This window comes from Homo sapiens, chromosome 11, assembly GCF_000001405.40.
Source record: "Homo sapiens chromosome 11, GRCh38.p14 Primary Assembly".
In the NCBI taxonomy this organism is placed as follows: Eukaryota; Metazoa; Chordata; class Mammalia; order Primates; family Hominidae; genus Homo; species Homo sapiens.
This window is the reverse complement of record NC_000011.10, coordinates 18,119,696-18,140,574: the sequence shown is the minus strand read 5'-3', so window position 1 is coordinate 18,140,574 and position 20,879 is coordinate 18,119,696. Positions and strand designations below refer to the sequence as shown.

At 42.4% G+C, this 20,879-nt stretch overlaps 1 protein-coding gene across 2 annotated transcripts; it reads right to left on the bottom strand.

Moving 5' to 3' along the window:
• Positions 1–2,086: 2,086 nt before the first annotated feature.
• Positions 2,087–19,620, bottom strand: MRGPRX3 (MAS related GPR family member X3). 2 transcript variants are annotated; one of them, NM_054031.4, is made up of 3 exons: positions 19,411–19,620; positions 7,836–7,961; positions 2,087–3,397 (listed from the first exon to the last, which is right to left on the bottom strand). In NM_054031.4, exon 3 carries the CDS (start codon positions 3,370–3,372, stop codon positions 2,404–2,406), a length of 969 nt encoding a protein of 322 aa, NP_473372.3. In that variant the 5' UTR covers positions 3,373–3,397; positions 7,836–7,961; positions 19,411–19,620; the 3' UTR covers positions 2,087–2,403. The 2 variants fall into 2 exon arrangements, with proteins under 2 accessions (NP_473372.3, NP_001357393.1); NM_001370464.1 differs by lacking the exon at positions 19,411–19,620 and having other exon boundaries at positions 7,836–8,004.
• Positions 19,621–20,879: the final 1,259 nt, after the last annotated feature.

The window sequence follows — 20,879 nt, the reverse complement described above, 5'->3', positions numbered from 1 at the left end:
TTCTCAGAACGACCAACTGCAGAGGACACTCTGTTGAGTGGGAGGTTCCTGTAGGAGTTCCAGTGAGATCTGGTGACTGAGCCAGCCTTTGCAAGATGCTGGATGACCCTGTGATTTTCAGGTAGGAGCTGCTTGAGAGAAATAGTTACCAACACTCTTCTAAATTCCACACCTAGTCTGTTGCACTAGAAATTCCAAGACAGTTTCTCTGCTCTTAAAGACCTCAGGGTGCGGTTGAAGAGAAAGATGTGAGGACAAATATTTGAAGTACACTGTTATAAGTGCTGTAGTGGAGCAATGTGTGAGGCCAAGTGAGTTCAGAATGGGCTTCAGGGACAGAATCTAAGCCTTCATGAAGTTGAAGTTTTCTCCTATCAAAAGAAAAAGAATGTCACTAACATCAAAATAAGCAGAATCGCAGGTGAGAACCAACATGATTTGATTCAATTGCCAGGTGAAAATTCTCTGCAGAATTCCTCATGATAGACAACATCTTTAGCCAAAACTGTACAATTGATATCACAGACTTCCAGAGTGGACTCTCTCAATAACCCTCAGTCTGAACTAAAGACATCACAGCAAAGCTCCTGGCCCAGAGCATTGGCTGCAAACACTGCTTTCCTGCTTCCTGTCACCTGTAGGAAACTCTCAACTACAGCTACGTCCTACTACAGCATTTGGAAATTGAGGGTGGACAGATAGGATTGAGCATCAGCAGAATGCCAGGCCTGGAAGAGCAATAGATCTGGACTCAGGGGACCTGAGTTCAACATTGTGAACAGTGTGATAAGAGCCACCAATAAATATGGTTTGAAAAATGGAAAAGTATAGACCTCTTTATTACTTTCATAGCTGCTTTGTACTGCCTCCTGCAAACTCAAATTGCATGTGTCAGCTCCCCTCAGTGAGGGTTAATCTGAGGGGCAGCCTCACTGTGAGCAGCACAGAGTCCACTGTGAGGTCACATCTTCTCTTGGTGGTCTCTTCTGTCTGCTTGAGTTATCTGTGGAAGGGATAACCACTGGTGGAGAATAGTCCTGAATTTTGTACTGATCCTCCTTTTATAATTAAATGTTTTAAATTGTGGTAAAATTTACATAACATACATTTTACAACTTTAATCATTTTAATTGTCCAATTCTGTGTAGGTAAGTACATTCACAATAAGTCGTAACCGTTACCACTGTCCCTTTTAAAAACTTTTCATTATTCCACACAGAAATCCTGTGCTCATTTAATAATGGCTACACATTCTCTCCATCTTCCAGCACCAGGATCCTCCTAATTTATTTTCTGTGTTCAAGAATTTCCTAATTTGGATACCTCATAGAATTTGAACTTACAATATTGTTTGGCGTCTGGCTTATTTTCCTTAGCACAATATTTCCAGGTTCATGTATGTCACAGCATGTATCAGAATTCTGTACCAACTGTAAGTTATTATCCAGATACCATAATTGAGATTGTCATGGAAAGGTCAGATGTTTTCAGTTTTGCTTCTCATGTAAACAGCCATAAAACTAACTGAAAGTTACAATCAGAACAATTTATACAAAACCTGGAAGTATGAAGAATTCTCCTACAACTGAAAGAATCTGTAAGTGAATAATAAATGGTTTTCAAGATAATTTCCACTTTAAAATCAATATTGAGGTTTCCAATGGCCAAAATGAAACTGGTGGGACATATTTATAGGCTCCTCACTAGTTCATTAGTCCAGGAAGAGCTAAATAAGAACTTACCAGTTCTCAAGGGGAAGGGGCCACGGTGATCTTTACTAGAAACCAAGGCCAACATGTCACCATGCTGTGGACAAATGACAGGAGAGGGCTATTCATAAAACCAATTTCTAAGACTGTTTTTATGAAGGGAGAATCTCTCTCTAAGGTCATTATTTTGCTTTATATCTGAGAATTCAATGGAATTTAGAGGTAGCAGAACTCACTTATTAAGAATTGAGCTTCCAACTGCAGTAATGCCTCCAGTCATAGAAGGGAACATGATTTTCAGGGGAACATAGTCTGACAGATTAATAAGGAATCTTCCTTTTTGATACTATCAGGTAGGAAACAAGTATAAAGAAGAGTTTTAGGGTTGTGGACAGCAACTCCTTTTATTACAATGAAAAGTGCAGAAAAAGTGTTCAGTAGGAAAGATTCAGTGCAAGATAACAGGGAAAATGTATTGGTAATATCAAGGAGAATCCAAACATTGTACTGTCAGACTAATGCTTTCCATGGGTGAAAACTGCAACTGTCAGGTTAGATAAACATCTATTCGAAGACCTTGAGGGACCACTGAGACATTTCTGAGGCAGAAGGCTAAGAAAAATGCATATAATTGTCAAGGGTGGCAGGGCAGCATTGCTCTCAAAGTCCTGTCTGACAGGGCAGAGGTTCTTCCTCACTGCTCCAATCTGCTTCCCGACAGCTCCAGGGTTTCCTGAGGAAGCCACCCTCCACCTTCATCCACCTCAGGCGTGTCCTGCAGAGCCCTCTGGAGAACCAGCTTCAGGTTCTGCCTATTTTGACGCTGCCTAAAGGAGCCCACGAAGAAGTAAATGATGGGGTTGGCACTGCTGTTAAGAGCGGACAGGAAAATGGAAACTAGATGCACATGACAAAATAAGACTTTCCAATCCAGGTGGATCCTGGAAAACAGGGCCCACTGAATGCCAAAGGGCAGGCCACAGAGGAGGAAGACCAGCACTGTGAGGAGGATGGTCACGTACAGCCTGGTCAGCGGCATCTTCCGGGATCCACAGAGAATCCTGACCAGCAGGACCAGGCTGGACCCACAGAGAACCACACATAAAAAAACCAGCCACGCGATTGTAATGAAATCTGACGTTTCACACCAAACAGAATTAGCACCACTAAACAGGAAGTCACAGAACATCCACTCCAGGATACTCCGCAGCAGGGACAGGGCCCAGAGCAGGACACACATGACTGATGACAGGTATCTGGGGCGGCGGCAGTGGTACCAGATGGGCCACAGGATGGACAGGCAGCGCTCGGTGCTGATGGCGCTCAGCATGCTTAGGCCTATAAAGTAGGGAAAGGTCATCACAGGACTGAGGATTTTGGAGATGGGATGGCGGATATTGATGAGGCGTAACGGCGAACATATAATGTGGCCGCTAAGGAAGAGGAAGTCGGCCGCGACCAGGTTGAGGATGTAGATGGAGACAGCGTTCCTGCGCATGCGGCAGCCCAGGAGCCAGAGCACAACCGCGTTTCCTGTCAGCGCGACAAGGGAAACGATGCACGTCAGCCCCGTGAAGCTCAGGGTCTGCTTGTAGCAAGGAGTCTCCTCACGTCCGTTGATTGGTGTCAGTTCTGTACCCAAGACTGGGATGGTTGAATCCATGCTCAGAAACCCCAGTCTGATGACCCTGGAAACAGAAACCAGATGTGATCACCAGCTGTTTGATCTCTGATTCTCCCCACCACCCTGCCATGTGGGATTTACTGTCCTCATTTAAAGAGGAGAGATCAGAGACTCGCAGAGAATAAGTCACCTATCAAAAGGTGGGGGTCCTCAAATCCAGTTTGAAATCCAGTTCTTGTTGACTCTGAAGCCTGACCTCTCTCTACTGCCACACAAGTTCTGTGCTGACATGGGGATAACATTAGGATCAAAACACCCCCACTCATCTAGCCAGTGCTGTGGACCCGATGATTACTCTATCCTGGGCCTGAAATTTTCTCTCAGGTGGAGGAATTCAGATACACAAAGAGGTGGTTGTGACACCCTCATGACCAGGACTGGTCATCTCTGGACAGGAAAAAAGATCATGCATTATGAACCAGAGGAAAATGGGATCTTCGCTAGGATGTGTGAAAATGGCGGGACCTGGTGGGTGAGAAATAACTCAGTGTGTCAGTCATTGCAGACAGGACCACATTTTACATTTTATACTCCTAGTGCCTATTCCATAAGCAGCACAATGTGCTTTTCATAAACGTTCATTCAATGAAGGAATGCATGCATGAGAAGCCTAATGGCAATGGTAGATTTGGATGAAATGGAAAATAAAAATGAAAGCACAATGTAAGGCATTAGAACACACACATATAATTAGATGAAGAAAATTTCATTCATCAGAATTCTATTTGTGGACAGCTCTATCTGTGTTGAGAAGAATGATTGATGAGTGCCCAAAACCTGAAATTGACCACTGATGTGCCTTTAAAATAAGGACTCAGTGTGGCTTTGCCGAACCCCTAGAAGCATTTTGTACACAGTGTTTGGGTAGGGTGTGGGTCTGAGCTGAATTGCTCAGCAACAGAACAGAGGAAAGAGTAAGTGAGGGTGAGCCTGAGTGCCACTGCAGCAGGTAATTGAAGTGTGGGAATATGTATGGGGGACTACTAAGTGTTCTGCTGAGTATACACAATGTAAACCTATTTCATTCTCTCTTTCGGGAGATCTTTGGTAGCGTTTCTTTGTTGATGCAAACATTTGTATGAGAGGAGTCCATGAGTGGAAATAGGAGAAGTGTAGGGCTTGGGTTGTAAAGAGAGATATTCATGCAAATTTCAACTGGAGAATGAGGATTAGGTCTAATTTGGGAGAATAACAGCAGCTGATTGACAGTTTATTAGGTATTGCCTCTTTTAATCATCTGAAGAGCCTAGGAGGTAAAAATTAGTATTATTCCTGTATTGCAGATAATGAAATTAGAGTATAAAGAGAGGATATTATTTGTCCGGGGGGTTATATATTATATAGTATGAATGTGAGCCCAGCAGGGCTGACTCATGATCCATTTTTTCACCAGCCCTTTGGACCCAGCACCACTATGTGTCGATTATACATGTTAGAGGGGGGTAAAGTAGAGGAGTGATTCTCAAGTTAAATCCAAGTTGACAGTCAAAATTGTGGGCTGAAAAAAAAAATTAACCTAAACAAACTCCAGATAGAGAATGAGAAGCAAATGAAATAAGGGAAAAATAGAGGTGAGTGCGTGCCATTTAGGAACAAATTCAGGAGTTCTTTTTTGCCTATCAGAGGCCACGTTTGCTCTGGAATCCCAAGAATGCACATGGGCAGGAGCTCTCCAGGTGGAAAGAAGATGCATCCTCCTCTGGGAGTATAGAGGAGCATCAGGAGTGAGTGCATCCATCATGAGCTCTCTTAGGGAGACAAGCTGCCACAGCTCTGATTGGCCCAAAAAGGAAATGGGAGGAAAAGGAGAACCTCTGTTATCCACACTCAGAGCACTAAACTGTTTGTCCATCTATAGGTATGGTATGATATGTTTGTCTTCCTCATGAAACCCGAAGATCCGTAAGGAGTAAGTCATGCCTGTCTTTTTCACTGTGGTATCACCAACATTTAGCATGTTGTTTAACATGCTATGATGTTCTTTAAAGACTGTCTATGGTATTATCCTCATATAACATAAGATGAAGCTAAGGCCTAGAGAATTAAAGGGTTTTCCTGGTTCACAACATGAAGAGCAGGTCCAATACCAGCCCCTGGTCCCTGGAGTCCTGCACGAGACTCCAGTTCTGTTCTCTGCCCCACCATTTATTATTTCTGAGGAGTTCCTGAAAAATCTTGATGTGAGCACAGAATCAGAGACAGTCAGGGGCTGAAGAGACTGCTGGTTGCCCCAAGATTTCCTTTTTTGGTCACATAACCTTTCTGAGAATGTACAAGCAGCACAAGGACCCACATCCCAGTTTTCCTTGATGCTGGATGACATCCCATGAGCAGGTGCTGTTAAGTGGAAGAATCACAAAAGTGACAGAAGCAAGTCCTGGCTCATGGGATTAATAGAAGGAGCAAAGCCTCTCCTTCCCCTCGTCCTTTTTCCATAAGACTGGAATGCTAATGTCGCTGGGAACCATGTAGGATCACAAGGATGAGGGCAACTCTCTAGGAACTGGGGAGCAGCAATTTTTGGAATTCTGATGTATGATGCTTTGGAGCTTCTAGTTCAGATCTCGAAGAGTGTCATTTTTGTGTATTTACAGGGGATTCTTTCCAGAACCCCAGCACAGACCAAAATCTGCAGATGCTCAATTTCCTTATATGTGGTATTTGTATATACTCTATGCACTTTCTCCCAGATACATTAAATCATTTAAAGTTATTTAGAATAACTGACAAAATGCAAATGCTATATAAGTTCTTGTTATATTGTAGTTTTTCAGAAATAATGACAAAGAAATACAAGTTTGTACCTGTTCAGTACATACACAACTCCGCCACACCTTTATTTTTGGAAAAGTTTCCTCCTGTAGTTTGTTGAATCTGTAGATTCAGAACCTAGTGACCCAGAGGCACAACTATACTTTCTTGTTTAAGATATTTCTTCTTCATGTCTTTATTAGATCAGCCAAACTTATATTCTAAACAAAATACATATGTTCTTTTTAAAATTACATTTTATTTTCTATGCATTTTTAACAAATGCAAACATTTCTGCATAAAAGTGACAGTAGAGAAAGACAAGCCAAACATTAAAGTAGTCTGATAGAGCTGAAATGAGACAGGGATCAATCAGATAGAGAAAGCCCCAGGAATTAGGAGGATACAAGAAGGTGAGAGGGATAGTCTCATTTACCATGAGGATTTGCTTTCCATTCTTCTTTATCCTGTTTGACATCCCAAGAGAGTGGCTTCTATGTACCACATCAGTGGGATTCTTTTTATTTCTGGTTTCTGGTGGAATTGAGACACTGGGAGACACCAGCAGGAGACTGGAAGACAGCAGGAAAGCACCTTGGGATTTCCATCTCCTGGCTCTCTGTCTGTGTATTAGTTCATTCTCAAATTGCTAAAAAGAAATACCTGAGACTGGGAAATTTATGAAGGAAATGGGTTTAACTGGCTAATAGCTCTACAGACTGTACAAGAAGCATAGCAGCTTCTGCTTCTGGGGAGGCCTCAGGAAGCTTCCAATCCTGGTGAAAGGCAAAGGGGGAGCGAGGCGTCTCACATGGTGAGAGCAGGAGTAAGAGAGAGGGAGGAGGTGCTACACGCTTTTAAACAACTAGATTTCATGAGAACTCGTCAGTATCACAACAACAATACCAAAGGGGGATGGTGTTAAAACATTCATGCAAAACCATCCCCGTGATCTAATAATCATCTCCCACAAGGCCCTTCCTCCAACATTGGAAATTACAATCAACATGAGATTTTGGTGGGAACACAGATCCAAACTATATCAGCCTGTGTGGCTGTGCGTTGGCCACGCAGGGCTTCTCCACTTGCCTGCTCATGCTCTCCCACCCTTATGGCTACAGCTATGGCTATAGTGACAATGGTAACTGCTCCTTCCCTGTCCGTTTCAGCCTAGGGGAGGAAGTAGTGCTCCCCTATGTATTGCTGCTTAGGATCCTGACCCTTAACTCTGTGCATCTTTGTAAATACTTTCCTCATGAAACACTCCTTAATTATTGGGCCATCTATATCTTCCTTAGACCTTTCCAGATAGGCAAAGAAGAATAAATTTGAAAAGTAAGTGAAACAAAGAAACTGGCTCTATAGCAGTTCAACTCTGGGAAGAAATGCCTGCATGTCCCCTTGCTCGTTAAATGAATGTAAGAGGCAGCAGTCTCTCCATGAGGGCAGATTGAATGATTGGAATGAAGGAGGTGATATGGGGAGATAAATTAGAAGGGGGGACACCATTTAGAGCTCACACAGTTTGGGTTGACAGCACTCAGTTTCTGAAAGGAAGCTTCATGTCTCCTGTCTTTTCCTGAAACAAGCTCGTGACCCCCTGCATGTAGCACCAAGGTGGAAGCATAAGGACATGATCTTACAGCAAAAATCATAACTGACTGTGGAAGAAGAGAGTTCTTGGTACTTACCCTTATCGTTCCTTCTTTGTCCAGTGGTGAAGACCTCCCTTGTGCTAAAGGTAGAGAGCCTTTATGGGATTCAGTGACTTCAGAGGACTTTTCTGTGTTGCTTAATTCAGGAGATGCCTACAGGAGCTGAAATGAAAGCTGGTGAGCAATCCAGGCTTACGAAGATGCTGGACAGTCTTGTTATTTCCTGTATGAGGACTATGGGCAAATCAGAGGCCAGAGGTATTTGAGACACAAATCCTAACTGAGATGATTCTTGGCCTCTGTCCCATATCCAGTACATTTAAGCCTCTCCTATCACGTCCCATCTTGTTCAACTTCCTGTAAGTAATTGCTGTCCTGATTTTAAAAATCAATTATGGGCCTAGGCATCACATTAAGCAATGTGAACTATCATTATGAGGCTTTATATCCAAATGAAAAAGTAGATCATGGGACCATTCAAGGCTGACAATGGCCTGACACAATTTTTTGATGTTTTCTTTATCATAGTGGTGATATATTCATGTGTATACTTTCTTTCCAAATGCCAGAGAAGTGTATGCAAGGTGAAAATCTAGAGTCCCATTGTCCAGAGGCTACCACTTGCTACACTTTTCATTCTTACTTCATTATTATAAACTCTGAACAGTGAACTTTTTTAAATTCTGTGAAATTAAATCATTTATTATTATTATTTTTATTTCATTGGGATTTTGGGGAACAGGTGGTGTTTGCTTCCATGGATAAGTTCTTTAGTGGTAATTTCTGAGATTTTGGTGCACCCATCACCTGAGCAGTGTACACTGTACCCAATGTGTAGTCTTTTATCCCTCGCCTCTCTTCCATCCTTCCCCTCAAGTCCCCAGAGTTCATTATATCATTCTATGCCTTCGTGTCCTCACAGCTTAGTCCCCACTTGTAAGTGAGAACATATGATGTTTGGTTTTCCATTCCTGAGTTACCCCACTTAGAATAAGGGTCTCCAATTCCATCTAGATTGCTGTGAATGTCATCATTTTATTCTTTTTTATGGCTGAGTTGTATTCCATGGTATATAAATATATATATTTATACATATTTAATGGGATTGCTGGATCAAATGGTCGATCTACTTTTAGTTCCTTAAGAAATTTCCACACTGTTTTCCATAGTGGTTGCGCAAGTTTACATTCCCACCAGCAGTGTAAAAGTGTTCCTTTATCACCACAGACCCACCAACATCTATTATTTTTAGATTTTTAAATTATGACCATTCTTGCAGGAGTAAGGTGGTATCGCATTACAGTGTTGATTTACATTTCCCTAATCATTAGTGATGTTAAGCATTTTTTCCTGTTTGTTGGCCATTTGTATATCTTCTTTTGAGAATTGTCTATTCATGTCCTTAGCCCACTCTTTCATGGGATTGTTTGCTTTCTTCTTGCTGATTTGTTTGAGTTCCTTGTGGATTCCGGATATTAGTCCTTGGTCAGATGCTTAGTTTGTGAAGATTTTCTCTCACTCGGTGGGTTGTCTGTTTGCTCTGCTAATGATTGTTTTTGCTGCGCAAAAGCTTTTTAGTTTAATTAAGTCCTATCTATTTATTTTTGTTTTTGTTGCATTTACTTTTGGGTTCTTGGCCATGAAGTCTTTGCCTAAGTGAATGTCTAGAAGCATTTTTCTGATGTTATCTTCTAGAATTTTTATGGTTTTAGGTCTCAGATTTAAGTCTTTGATCCATCTTGTATCAATTTTTGTATTAAGTGAGAGACAAGGATCCAGTTTCATTCTTCCACATGTGGCTTGCCAATAATCTCAGCACCATTTGTTAACTAGAATGTCTTTTCCCCACTTTATGTTTTTGTTTGCTTTGTCAAAAATCAGTTGGCTATAATTATTTGGCTTTATTTCTGGATTCTCTCTTCTTTTCCATTGGTCTATGTGCCTAGTTTTATGTCAGTGCCATGATGTTTTGGTGATTATAGCCTTGTAGTATAGTTTGAAGATGGGTAATGTGATGCCTCCAGATTTGTTCTTTTTGCTAAGTCTTGCTTTGGCTATGCGGGTTTTTTTTTTTTTTTTGGTTGTTGTTCCATATGAATTTTAGAATTGTTTTTTTCTAGTTCTGTGAAGAATGATGATGATATTTTGGTGGGAATTGCATTGAACTTGTAGATTGCTTTTGGCAATATGGTCATTTTCACAATATTGATTCTACCCATCCATGAGCATGGGATGTGTTTCCACTTGTTTGTGTCATCTATGATGTCAGCTGTGTTTTGTAGTTTTCCTTGTAGAGGTCCTTCACCTCCTTGGGTAAGAATATTCTTAAGTATTTTTTTACAGCTATTGTAAAAGTGTTTGAGTTCTTGATTTGATTCTCAGCTTGGTCACTGTTGGTGTATAGCAGTGCTACTGATTTGTGTACATTTAGTTTGTATCCTGAAACTTTACTGAATTTATGTATCAGTTCTAGGAGCTTTCTGGATGAGTCTTTAGGGTTTTCTAGGTATACAATCATATCATCAGTGAACAGGGACAGTTTGACTTCCTCTTTATTGATTTGGGTGCCCTTGATTTCTTTCTCTTGTCTGATTGCTCTGGCTAAAACTTCCACTACTATGTTGAATAGAAGTGGTGAAAGTAGCATCCTTGTCTTGTTCCAGTTCTCAGGGACAATGTTTTCAACTTTTCCCCATTCAGTATAATGTTTGCTGTGGGTCCGTCATATATGGCTTTTATTACATTAAGGTATGTCCTTTCTATGTCGATTTTGCTGAAGGTTTTAATCATAAAGAAATGTTAGATTTTGTCAAATGCTTTTTCAGCATCTATTGAGATGATCATGTGATTTTTGTTTTTAATTCTGTTTATGTGATGTATCACATTTATTGACTTGTGTATGTTAACCTATCCTGCACCCCTGGTATGAAACCCACTTGACAATGGTGGATTATCTTCTTGATATGCTGTTGGATTGGGTTAGCTAGTATTTTGTTGGGGATTTCTGCATGTATATTCATCAGTGGTACTGGTCTATAGTTTTCTTTTTTGTATATCCTTTCCTGGTTTTGGTATTAAAGTGACATTGGCTTCATACAATGCTTTAGGCAGGATTCCCTCTTTCTTTATGGAATAGCTTCAGTAGGATTGATACCAATTTTTCTTTGAATATCTGATAGAATTCAGCTGTGAATACATCTGGTCTTGTACTTTTTGTTGGCAATTTAAAAAAAAATTTTATTTCAATCTCATTCCTTTTTATTGGTCTGTTCAGACTTTCTATTTCTCCCTAGTTTAATCTAGGAGGTTTGTGTGTTTCCAGGAATTTATGCATAACCTCCAGGTTTTCTGGTTTGTGCATGTAAAGGTGATCACAATAGTCTTGAAAGATCTTTTGTATTTCTATAGCATTGGTTGTAATATCTCTTGTTTCATTCCTAATTGAGCTTATTTGAATCTTCTCTGTTCTTTTCTTGGTTAACCTTGCTAATGGTGTATCAATTTTGTTTAAGTTTTCAAAGAACCAGCTTTTTGTTTCATTTATCTTTTGTTTGTTTGCTTCAGTTTCAATTAGTTCTGCTCTGATCGTTTTTATTTATTTTCTTCTGCTGGGTTGGGTTTAGTTTGTTCTTGCTTCTCTAGTTCCTTGAGATGTGACTTCAGATTGTCTATTTGTGCTCTTTCAGACATTTTGATGTATGCATTTAATACAATGAACTTTCCTCTTAGCACCACTTTTGCTGTATTTCAGAGGTTTTGATAGGTTGTGTCACTATTATCATTCAGTTTATAGAATTTTTAAATTTCTATCTTGATTTCATTGTTGATTGAATAATAATTCAGGAGGGGGGTGGAGCCAAGATGGCCAAATAGGAACAGCTCCAGTCTACAGCTCCCAGCGTGAGCAACACAGAATCTGACGAATGATTTCTGCATTTCCAAGTGAGGTACTGGGTTTATCTCACTGGGGATTGTCGGACAGTGGGTGCAGGACAGTGGGTGCAGCGCACCAAGTGTGAGCCGAAGCAGGGCGAGACATCACCTCACCCGGGAAGTGCAAGGGGTCAGGGAATTCCCTTTCCTAGCCAAGAAAAGGAGTGACAGACGGCACCTGGAAAATCGGGTCACTCCCATCCTAATACTGCGCTTTCCCAACGGTCTTAGCAAACGGCACACCAGGAGATTGTATCCTGTGCCTGGCTCGGAGGGTCCTATGCCCATGGAGCCTCGCTCATTGCTAGCACAGTAGTCTGAGATCAAACTGCAAGGTGGCAGTGAGGCTAGGGGAGGGGTGCCCGCCATTGCTGAGGCTTGAGTAGGCAAACAAAGCAGCTGGGAAGCTCCAACTGGGTGAAGCCCACTGCAGCTCAAGGAGGCCTGCCTGCCTCTGTAAACTCCACCTCTGGGGGCAGGCCATAGCCAAACAAAAGGCAGCAGAAACCTCTGCAGACTTAAATGTCCCTGTCTGACAGCTTTGAAGAGAGTAGTGGTTCTCCCAGCATGCAGCTTGAGATCTGAGAAAAGGCAGACTGCCTCCTCAAGTGAGTCCCTGACCCCATGACCCCCTGATTCCCTATCTGGGAGGCACCCCCAGTAGGGGCAGACTGACACCTCACATGGCCAGGTACTCCTCTGAGACAAAACTTCCAGAGGAACGATCAGGCAGCAACATTTGCTGTTCACCAGTATCCACTGTTCTGCAGCCTCCGCTGCTGATACTCAGGCAAACAGGGTCTGGAGTGGACCTCCAGCAAACTCCAACAGATCTGCAGCTGAGGGTCCTGACTGTTAGAAGGAAAACTAACAAACAGAAAGGACATCCACACCAAAACCCCATCTGTATATCACCATGATCAAAGACCAAAGGCAGATAAAACCACAAAGATGGGGAAAAAACAGAGCAGAAAAACAGAAAATTCTAAAAATCAGAGCACCTCTCCTCCTCCAAAGGAATGCAGCTCCTCACGAGCAATGAAACAAAGCTGGACGGAGAATGACTTTGACAAGTTGAGAGAAGAAGCCTTCAGACGATCAAACTACTCCGAGCTAAAGGAAGAAGTTCGAACCCATGGCAAAGAAGTTAAAAACCTTGAAAAAAGATTAGATGAATGGCTAACTAGAATAACCAATGCAGAGAAGTCCTTAAAGGACCTGATGGAGCTGAAAACCACGGCACGAGAACTACATGATGAATGCACAAGCCTCAGTAGCTGATTCGATCAACTGGAAGAAAGGGTATCAGTGATGGAAGATCAAATGAATGAAATGAAGCAAGAAGAGAAGTTTAGAGAAAAAAGAATGAAAAGAAAGGAACAAAGCCTCCAAGAAATATGGGACTATGTAAAAAGACCAAATCTACGTCTGATTGGTGTATCTGAAAGTGACGGGGAGAATGGAACCAAGCTGGAAAACACTCTGCAGGATATTATCCAGGAGAACTTCCCCAATCTAGCAAGGCAGGCCAACATTCAGATTCAGGAAATACAGAGAATGCCACAAAGATACTCCTCGAGAAGAGCAACTCCAAGACACATAATTGTCAGATTCACCAAAGTTGAAATGTAGGAAAAAATGTTAAGGGCAGCCAGAGAGAAAGGTCAGGTTACCCACAAAGGGAAGCCCATCAGAATAACAGTGGATCTCTCGGCAGAAACTCCACAAGCCAGAAGAGAGTGGGGGCCAATATTCAACATTCTTAAAGAAGTCAGTGTGGCAATTCCTCAGGGATCTAGGACTAGAAATACCATTTGGCCCAGCCATCTCATTACTGGGTATATTCCCAAAGGATTATAAATCACGCTGCTATAAAGACACATGCACACATATGTTTATTGTGGCACTATTCACAATAGCAAAGACTTGGAACCAACCCAAATGTCCAACAATGATAGACTGGATTAAGAAAACGTGGCACATATACACCATGGAATACTATGCAGCCATAAAAAACGATGAGTTCATGTCCTTTGTAGGGACATGGATGAAGCTGGAAACCATCATTCTCAGCAAACTATCGCAAAGACAAAAAACCAAACACCGCATATTCTCACTCATAGGTGGGAATTGAACAATGAGAACACATGGACACAGGAAGGGGAACATCACACACTGGGAACGGTTGTGGGGTGGGGGAAGGGGGAGGGATAGCATTAGGAGATATACCTAATGCTAAATGACGAGTTAATGGGTGCAGCACACCATCATGGTACCTGTATACATATGTAACAAACCTGCACATTGTGCACATGTACCCTAAAACTTAATAATAAAAAAAGAAAAGAAAAGAATTTTCAACCCCGAATTTCATATCCAGCCAAACTAAGCTTCATAAGTGAAGGAGAAATAAAATCCTTTACAGACAAGCAAATGCTGAGAGATTTTGGCACCACCAGGACTGCCCTAAAAGAGCTCCTGAAGGAAGCACTAAACATGGAAAGGAACAACCAGTACCAGCCACTGCAAAAACATGCCAGTTGTAAAGACCATCAATGTTAGGAAGAAACTGCATCAACTAATGAGCAAAATTAACAGCTAACATCATAATGACAGGATCAAATTCACATGTAACAATATTAACCTTAAATTTAAATGGGCTAAATGCTCCAATTAAAAGACACAGACTGGCAAATTGGATAAAGAGTCAAGACCCATCAGTGTGCTATATTCAGGAAACCCATCTCAATGTGCAGAGACACAGATAGGCTCAAAATAAAGGGATGGAGGAAGCTCTACCAAGCAAATGGAAAGAAAACAAAAAAAGCAGGGGTTGCAATTCTAGTCTCTGATAAAACAGACTTTAAACCAACAAAGATCAAAAGAGACAAAGAAGGCCATTACATAATGGTAAAGGGATCAATTCAACAAGAAGAGCTAACTATCCTAAACATATATGCACCCAATACAGGAGCACCCAGATTCATAAAGCAAGTCCTTAGAGACCTACAAAGAGACTTAGACTCCCACACAATAATAATGGGAGACTTTAATACCCCACTGTCAATATTAGATAGATCAACAAGACAGAAAATTAACAAGGATATCCAAGACTTGAACTCAGCTCTGAACCAAGCGGACCTAATAGACATCTACAGAACTCTCCACCCCAAATCAACAGAATATACATTCTTCTCAGCACCACATCACACCTATTCTAAAATTGACCACATAATTGGAAGTAAAACACTCCTCAGCAAAAGTAAAAGAGAGAAATCACGACAAACTCTCTCTTAGACCACAGTGCAATCAAATTAGAACTCAAGATTAAGAATCTCACTCAAAAACGCTCAACTACATGGAAACTGAACAACCTGCTCCTGAATGACTACTGGGTACATAACGAAATGAAGGCAGAAATAAATATGTTCTTTGAAACCAACGAGAACAAAGACACAACATACCAGAATCTCTGGGACACACCCAAAGCAGTGTGTAGAGGGAAATTTATAGCACTAAATGCCTACAAGAGAAAGCAGGAAAGATCTAAAATTGACACCCTAACATCACAATTCAAAGAACTAGAGAAGCAAGAGCAAACACATTCAAAAGCTAGCAGAAAGCAAGAAATAACTAAGATCAGAGTAGAACTGAAGGAGATAGAGACACAAAAAACCCTTCAAAAAATCAATGAATCCAGGAGCTGTTTTTTTGAAAAGATCAACAAAATTGATAGACCGCTAGCAAGACTAATAAAGAAGAAAAGAGAGAAGAATCAAATAGATGCAATAAAAAATGATAAAGGGAATATCACCATCGATCCCACAGAAATACAAACTACCATCAGAGAATACTATAAACACCTCTATGCAAATAAACTAGAAAATCTAGAAGAAATGGATAAATTCCTCGACACATATACACTCTCAAGACTAAACGAAGAAGAAGTTGAATCTCTGAATAGACCAGTAACAGGCTCTGAAATTGAGGTAATAATTAACATCTTACCAACCAAAAGAAGTCCAGGACCAGATGAATTCACAGCCGAATTCTACCAGAGGTACAAGGAGGAGCTGGTACCATTCCTTCTGAAATTATTCCAATCAATAGAAAAAGAGGGAATCCTCCCTAACTCATTTTATGAGGCCAGCATCATCCTGATACCAAAGCCTGGCAGAGACACAACAAAAAAAGAGAATTTTAGACCAATATCCCTGATGAATATCGATGCAAAAATCCTCAATAAAATACTGGCAAACTGAATCCAGCAGCACATCAAAAAGCTTACTCACCATGATCAAGTGGGCTTCATCCCTGGGATGCAAGGCTGGTTCAACACACGCAAATCAATAAACATAATCCAGCATATAAACAGAACCAAAGACAAAAACCACATGATTATCTCAATAGATGCAGAAAAGGCCTTTGACAAAATTCAACAACCTTCATGCTAAAAACTCTCAATAAATTAGGTATTGATGGGACGTATCTCAAAATAATAAGAGCTATCTATGACAAACCCACAGCCAATATCATACTGAATGGGCAAAAACTGGAAGCTTTCCCTTTGAAAACTGGCACAAGACAGGGATGCCCTCTCTCACCACTCCTATTCAACATAGTGTTGGAAGTTCTGGCTAGGGCAATCAGGCAGGAGAAGGAAATAAAGGGTATTCAATTAGGAAAAGAGGAAGTCAAACTGTCCCTGTTTGCAGATGACATGATTGTATATTTAGAAAACCTCATCGTCTCAGCCCAAAATCTCCTTAAGCTGATAAGCAAATTCAGCAAAGTCTCAGGATACAAAATCAATGTGCAAAAATCAAGAGCATTCTTGTACACCAATAACAGACAAACAGAGAGCCAAATAATGAGTGAACTCCTATTCACAATTGCTTCAAAGAGAATAAAGAACCTAGGAATCCAGCTTACAAGGGATGTGAGGGACCTCTTCAAGGAGAACTACAAACCACTGCTCAATGAAATAAAAGAGGATACAAACAAATGGAAGAACATTCCATGCTCATGGGTAGGAAGAAGCAATATCGTGAAAATGGCCATACTGCCCAAGGTAATTTATAGATTCAATGCCATCCCCATCAAGCTACCAATGCCTTTCTTCACAGAATTGGAAAAAACTACTTTAAAATTCATATGGAAGCAAAAAAGAGCCCGCGTTGCCAAGTCAATCCTAAGCCAAAAGAACAAAGCTGGAGGCATCACACTACCTGACTTCAAACTATACTACAAGGCTACAGTAACCAAAACAGCATGGTACTGGTACCAAAACAGAGATATAGACCAATGGAACAGAACAGAGCCCTCAGAAATAATGCCACATATCTACGACTATCTGATATTTGACAAACCTGACAAAAACAAGCAATGGGGAAAGGATTCCCTATTTAATAAATGGTGCTGGGAAAACTGGCTAGCCATATGTAGAAAGCTGAAACTGGATCCCTTCCTTACACCTTACACAAAAATTAATTCAAGATGGATTAAAGACTTAAATGTTAGACCTGAAACCATAAAAACCCTAGAAGAAAACCTAGGCAATACCATTCGGGACATAGGCATGGGCAAGGACTTCGTGTCTAAAACACCAAAAGCAATGGCAACAAAAGCCAAAATTGACAAATGGGATCTAATGAAACTAAAGAGCTTCTGCACAGCAAAATAAACTACCATCAGAGCAAACAGGCAACCTACAGAATGGGAGAAAATTTTTGCAATCTACTCATCTGACAAAGGGCTAATATCCAGAATCTACAATGAACTCCAACAAATTTACAAGAAAAAAACAAACAACCCCATCAAAAAGTGGGCAAAGGATATGAACAGACACTTCTCAAAAGAAGACATTTATGCAGCCAAAAGACACATGAAAAAATGCTCACCATCACTGGCCATCAGAGAAATGCAAATCAAAACCACAATGAGATACCATCTCACACCAGTTAGAATGGCAATCATTAAAAAGTCAGGAAACAACAGATGCTGGAGAGGATGTGGAGAAACAGGAAAGCTTTTACACTGTTGGTGGGAGTGTAAACTAGTTCAACCATTGTGGAAGAGAGTGTGGCGATTCCTCAAGGATCTAGGACTAGAAATACCATTTGACCCAGCCATCCCATTACTGGGTATATACCCAAAGGATTATAAATCACCCTGCTATAAAGACACATGCACACGTATGTTTATTGTGGCACTATTCACAATAGCAAAGACTTGGAACCAACCCAAAGATCCAAAAATGATAGACTGGATGAAGAAAATGTGGCACATATACACCATGGAATACTATGCAGCCAAAAAATTGATGAGTTCATGTCCTTTGCAGGGACGTGGATGGGGCTGGAAACCATCATTCTGAGCAAAGTATCACAAGGACAGAAAACCAAACACCACATATTCTCACTCACAGGTGGGAATTGAACAATGAGAACACTTGGACACAGGGCAGGGAACATCCCACCCTGGGGCCTGTCGTGGGAGGGATAGCATTAGGAGAAATACCTAATGTAAATGACAAGTTAATGAGTGCAGCAAACCAGCATGGCACATGTATATCTATGTAACAAACCTCCATGTTGTGCACATGTACCCTAGAACTTAAAGTATAATAATAAAAAAAAAGTCTCAGCAAGGTTTGAAGGAATGTTATCTCTTGCAGCTGCAAGCAATGCAGGTTTTTTTGCAATGCAGATTTTTTTGCATGCAAGCAATGCAGTTTTTTTTGCATCATAAACATATCCTTGCAACAGTTATTTCTAACAAAAAAAAATCTTGAAAGATTTTTCTTTTTTTTTTTTCTTTTTTTCTTTTTTTTTAAATTTTATTTTTATTGATCATTCTTGGGTGTTTCTCACAGAGAGGGATTTGGCAGGGTCATAGGACAATAGTGGAGGGAAGGTCAGCAGATAAACAAGTGAACAAAGGTCTCTGGTTTTCCTAGGCAGAGGACCCTGAGGCCTTCCGCAGTGTTTGTGTCCCTGGGTACTTGAGATTAGGGAGTGGTGATGACTCTTAACGAGCATGCTGCCTTCAAGCGTCTGTTTAACAAAGCACATCTTTCACCGCCCTTAATCCATTTAACCCTGAGTGGACACAGCACATGTTTCAGAGAGCACAGGGTTGGGGGTAAGGTCACAGATCAACAGGATCCCAAGGCAGAAGAATCTTTCTTTGTACAGAACAAAATGAAAAGTCTCCCATGTCTACTTCTTTCCACACAGACACGGCAACCATCCGATTTCTCAATCTTTTCCCCACCTTTCCCGCCTTTCTATTCCACAAAGGCGCCATTGTCATCCTGGCCCGTTCTCAATGAGCTGTTGGGCACACCTCCCAGACGGGGCGGCTGGCCGGGCGGGGGGCTAACCCCCCCACCTCCCTCCCGGTCGGAGCGTGTGGCCTGGCAGAGGGGCTCCTCACTTCCCAGTAGGGGCAGCTGGGCAGTGGCGCCCCTCACCTCCCGGACGGGGCGGCTGGCCAGGCGGGGGGCTGACCCCCACCTCCCTCCCGGACAGGGCGGCTGCCGGGCGGAGACGCTCCTCACTTCCCAGACGGGGTGGCTGCCGGGCGGAGGGGCTCCTCACTTCTCAAACGGGGCGGTTGCCAGGTGGAGGGTCTCCTCCCTTCTCAGATGGGGCGGCTGGGCAGAGACGCTCCTCACCTCCCAGACGGGGTCGCGACCGGGCAGAGGCGCTCCTCACATCCCAGACGGGGCGGCGGGGCAAAGGCACTCCCCACATCTCAGACGATGGGCGGCCGGGCAGAGACGCTCCTCACTTCCTAGATGGGATGGCGGCCGGGAAGAGGCGCTCCTCACTTCCTAGATGGGATGGCGGCCGGGCAAAGACGCTCCTCACTTTCCAGACTGGGCAGCCAGGCAGAGGGGCTCCTAACATCCCAGACGATGGGCGGCCAGGCAGAGACGCTCCTCACTTCCTAGAAGGGGTGGCGGCCGGGCAGAGGCTGCAATCTCGGCACTTTGGGAGGCCAAGGCAGCGGCTGGGGAGGTGGAAGGTTGTACCGAGCCGAGATCACGCCACTGCACTCCAGCCTGGGCACCATTGAGCACTGAGTGAACCAGACACCGTCTGCAATCCCGGCACCTCCGGAGGCCGAGGCTGGCGGATCACTCGCGGTTAGGAGCTGGAGGCCAGCCCGGCCAACACAGCGAAACCCCGTCTCCACCAAAAAAATACGAAAACCAGTCAGGCGTGGCGGCGTGCGCCTGCAATCGCAGGCACTCGGCAGGCTGAGGCAGGAGAATCAGGCAGGGAGGTTGCAGTGAGCCGAGATGGCGGCAGTACAGTCCAGCTTCGGCTCGGCATTAGAGGGAGACCGTGGGGAGAGGGAGAGGAGGGAGAGGGAGAGGAGGGAGAGGGAGAGGGAGAGGGAGAGGGAAGTCCAGGATTTTCTTTTGTGGTGATGAAAATGTTTTGGAACTAGATAGAGGTGGGTATAACATTATGAATTAACTAAATACCCCGAATTGTAAACTTTAAAATAATTAATTTTATATTTGGTGAATTTCACCTCAATTAAAAAAAAAATTAGAAAAAGGCCAGGCATGGTGGCTCATGCCTGTAATTGCAGCGCTTTGGAAAGCCAAGGTAGGAGGATCACTTTGTGCCCAGGGGTTTGAGACCAGCCTGGGCAACATAGCAAAACCCTGTCTCAAAAAAAAAAAAAAAGAAAGAAAGAAAAAGGAAAAGAAAAAAAAGAAAGAAAGAAAGAAAGAGAGAGAGAAAACGGTAGAAGAAATAGGGACTAAAAACATTATATACTGTAGTCTACTCCAGTGATTTAATAGATCTAAAAGGCTCAGAAAACTGAGCCTTTTGGAGATGGAGAGACCTTCCCAAAATCACATCACTGGCTAGAAGCAGAGAGGTAGGGCAAGAACCCAGAAATTCCATACCACTGACCACCCAGCGTGTGTGTCTGATGGAGTTCAGCCTCAGCACCTTTTCCCTAGCTGACTCGTGAGATTACCGAAAGATTTTTCTTTCAAGTCTTTCACCCAGACTTCAAAGATGATTTTATGTCCTATTGTTACAGGACAGGGCTCAGGATCCAGACCCCCAAGAGAGGGTTCTTGGATCTTGCACAAGAAAGAATTCAGGGCGAGTCCAC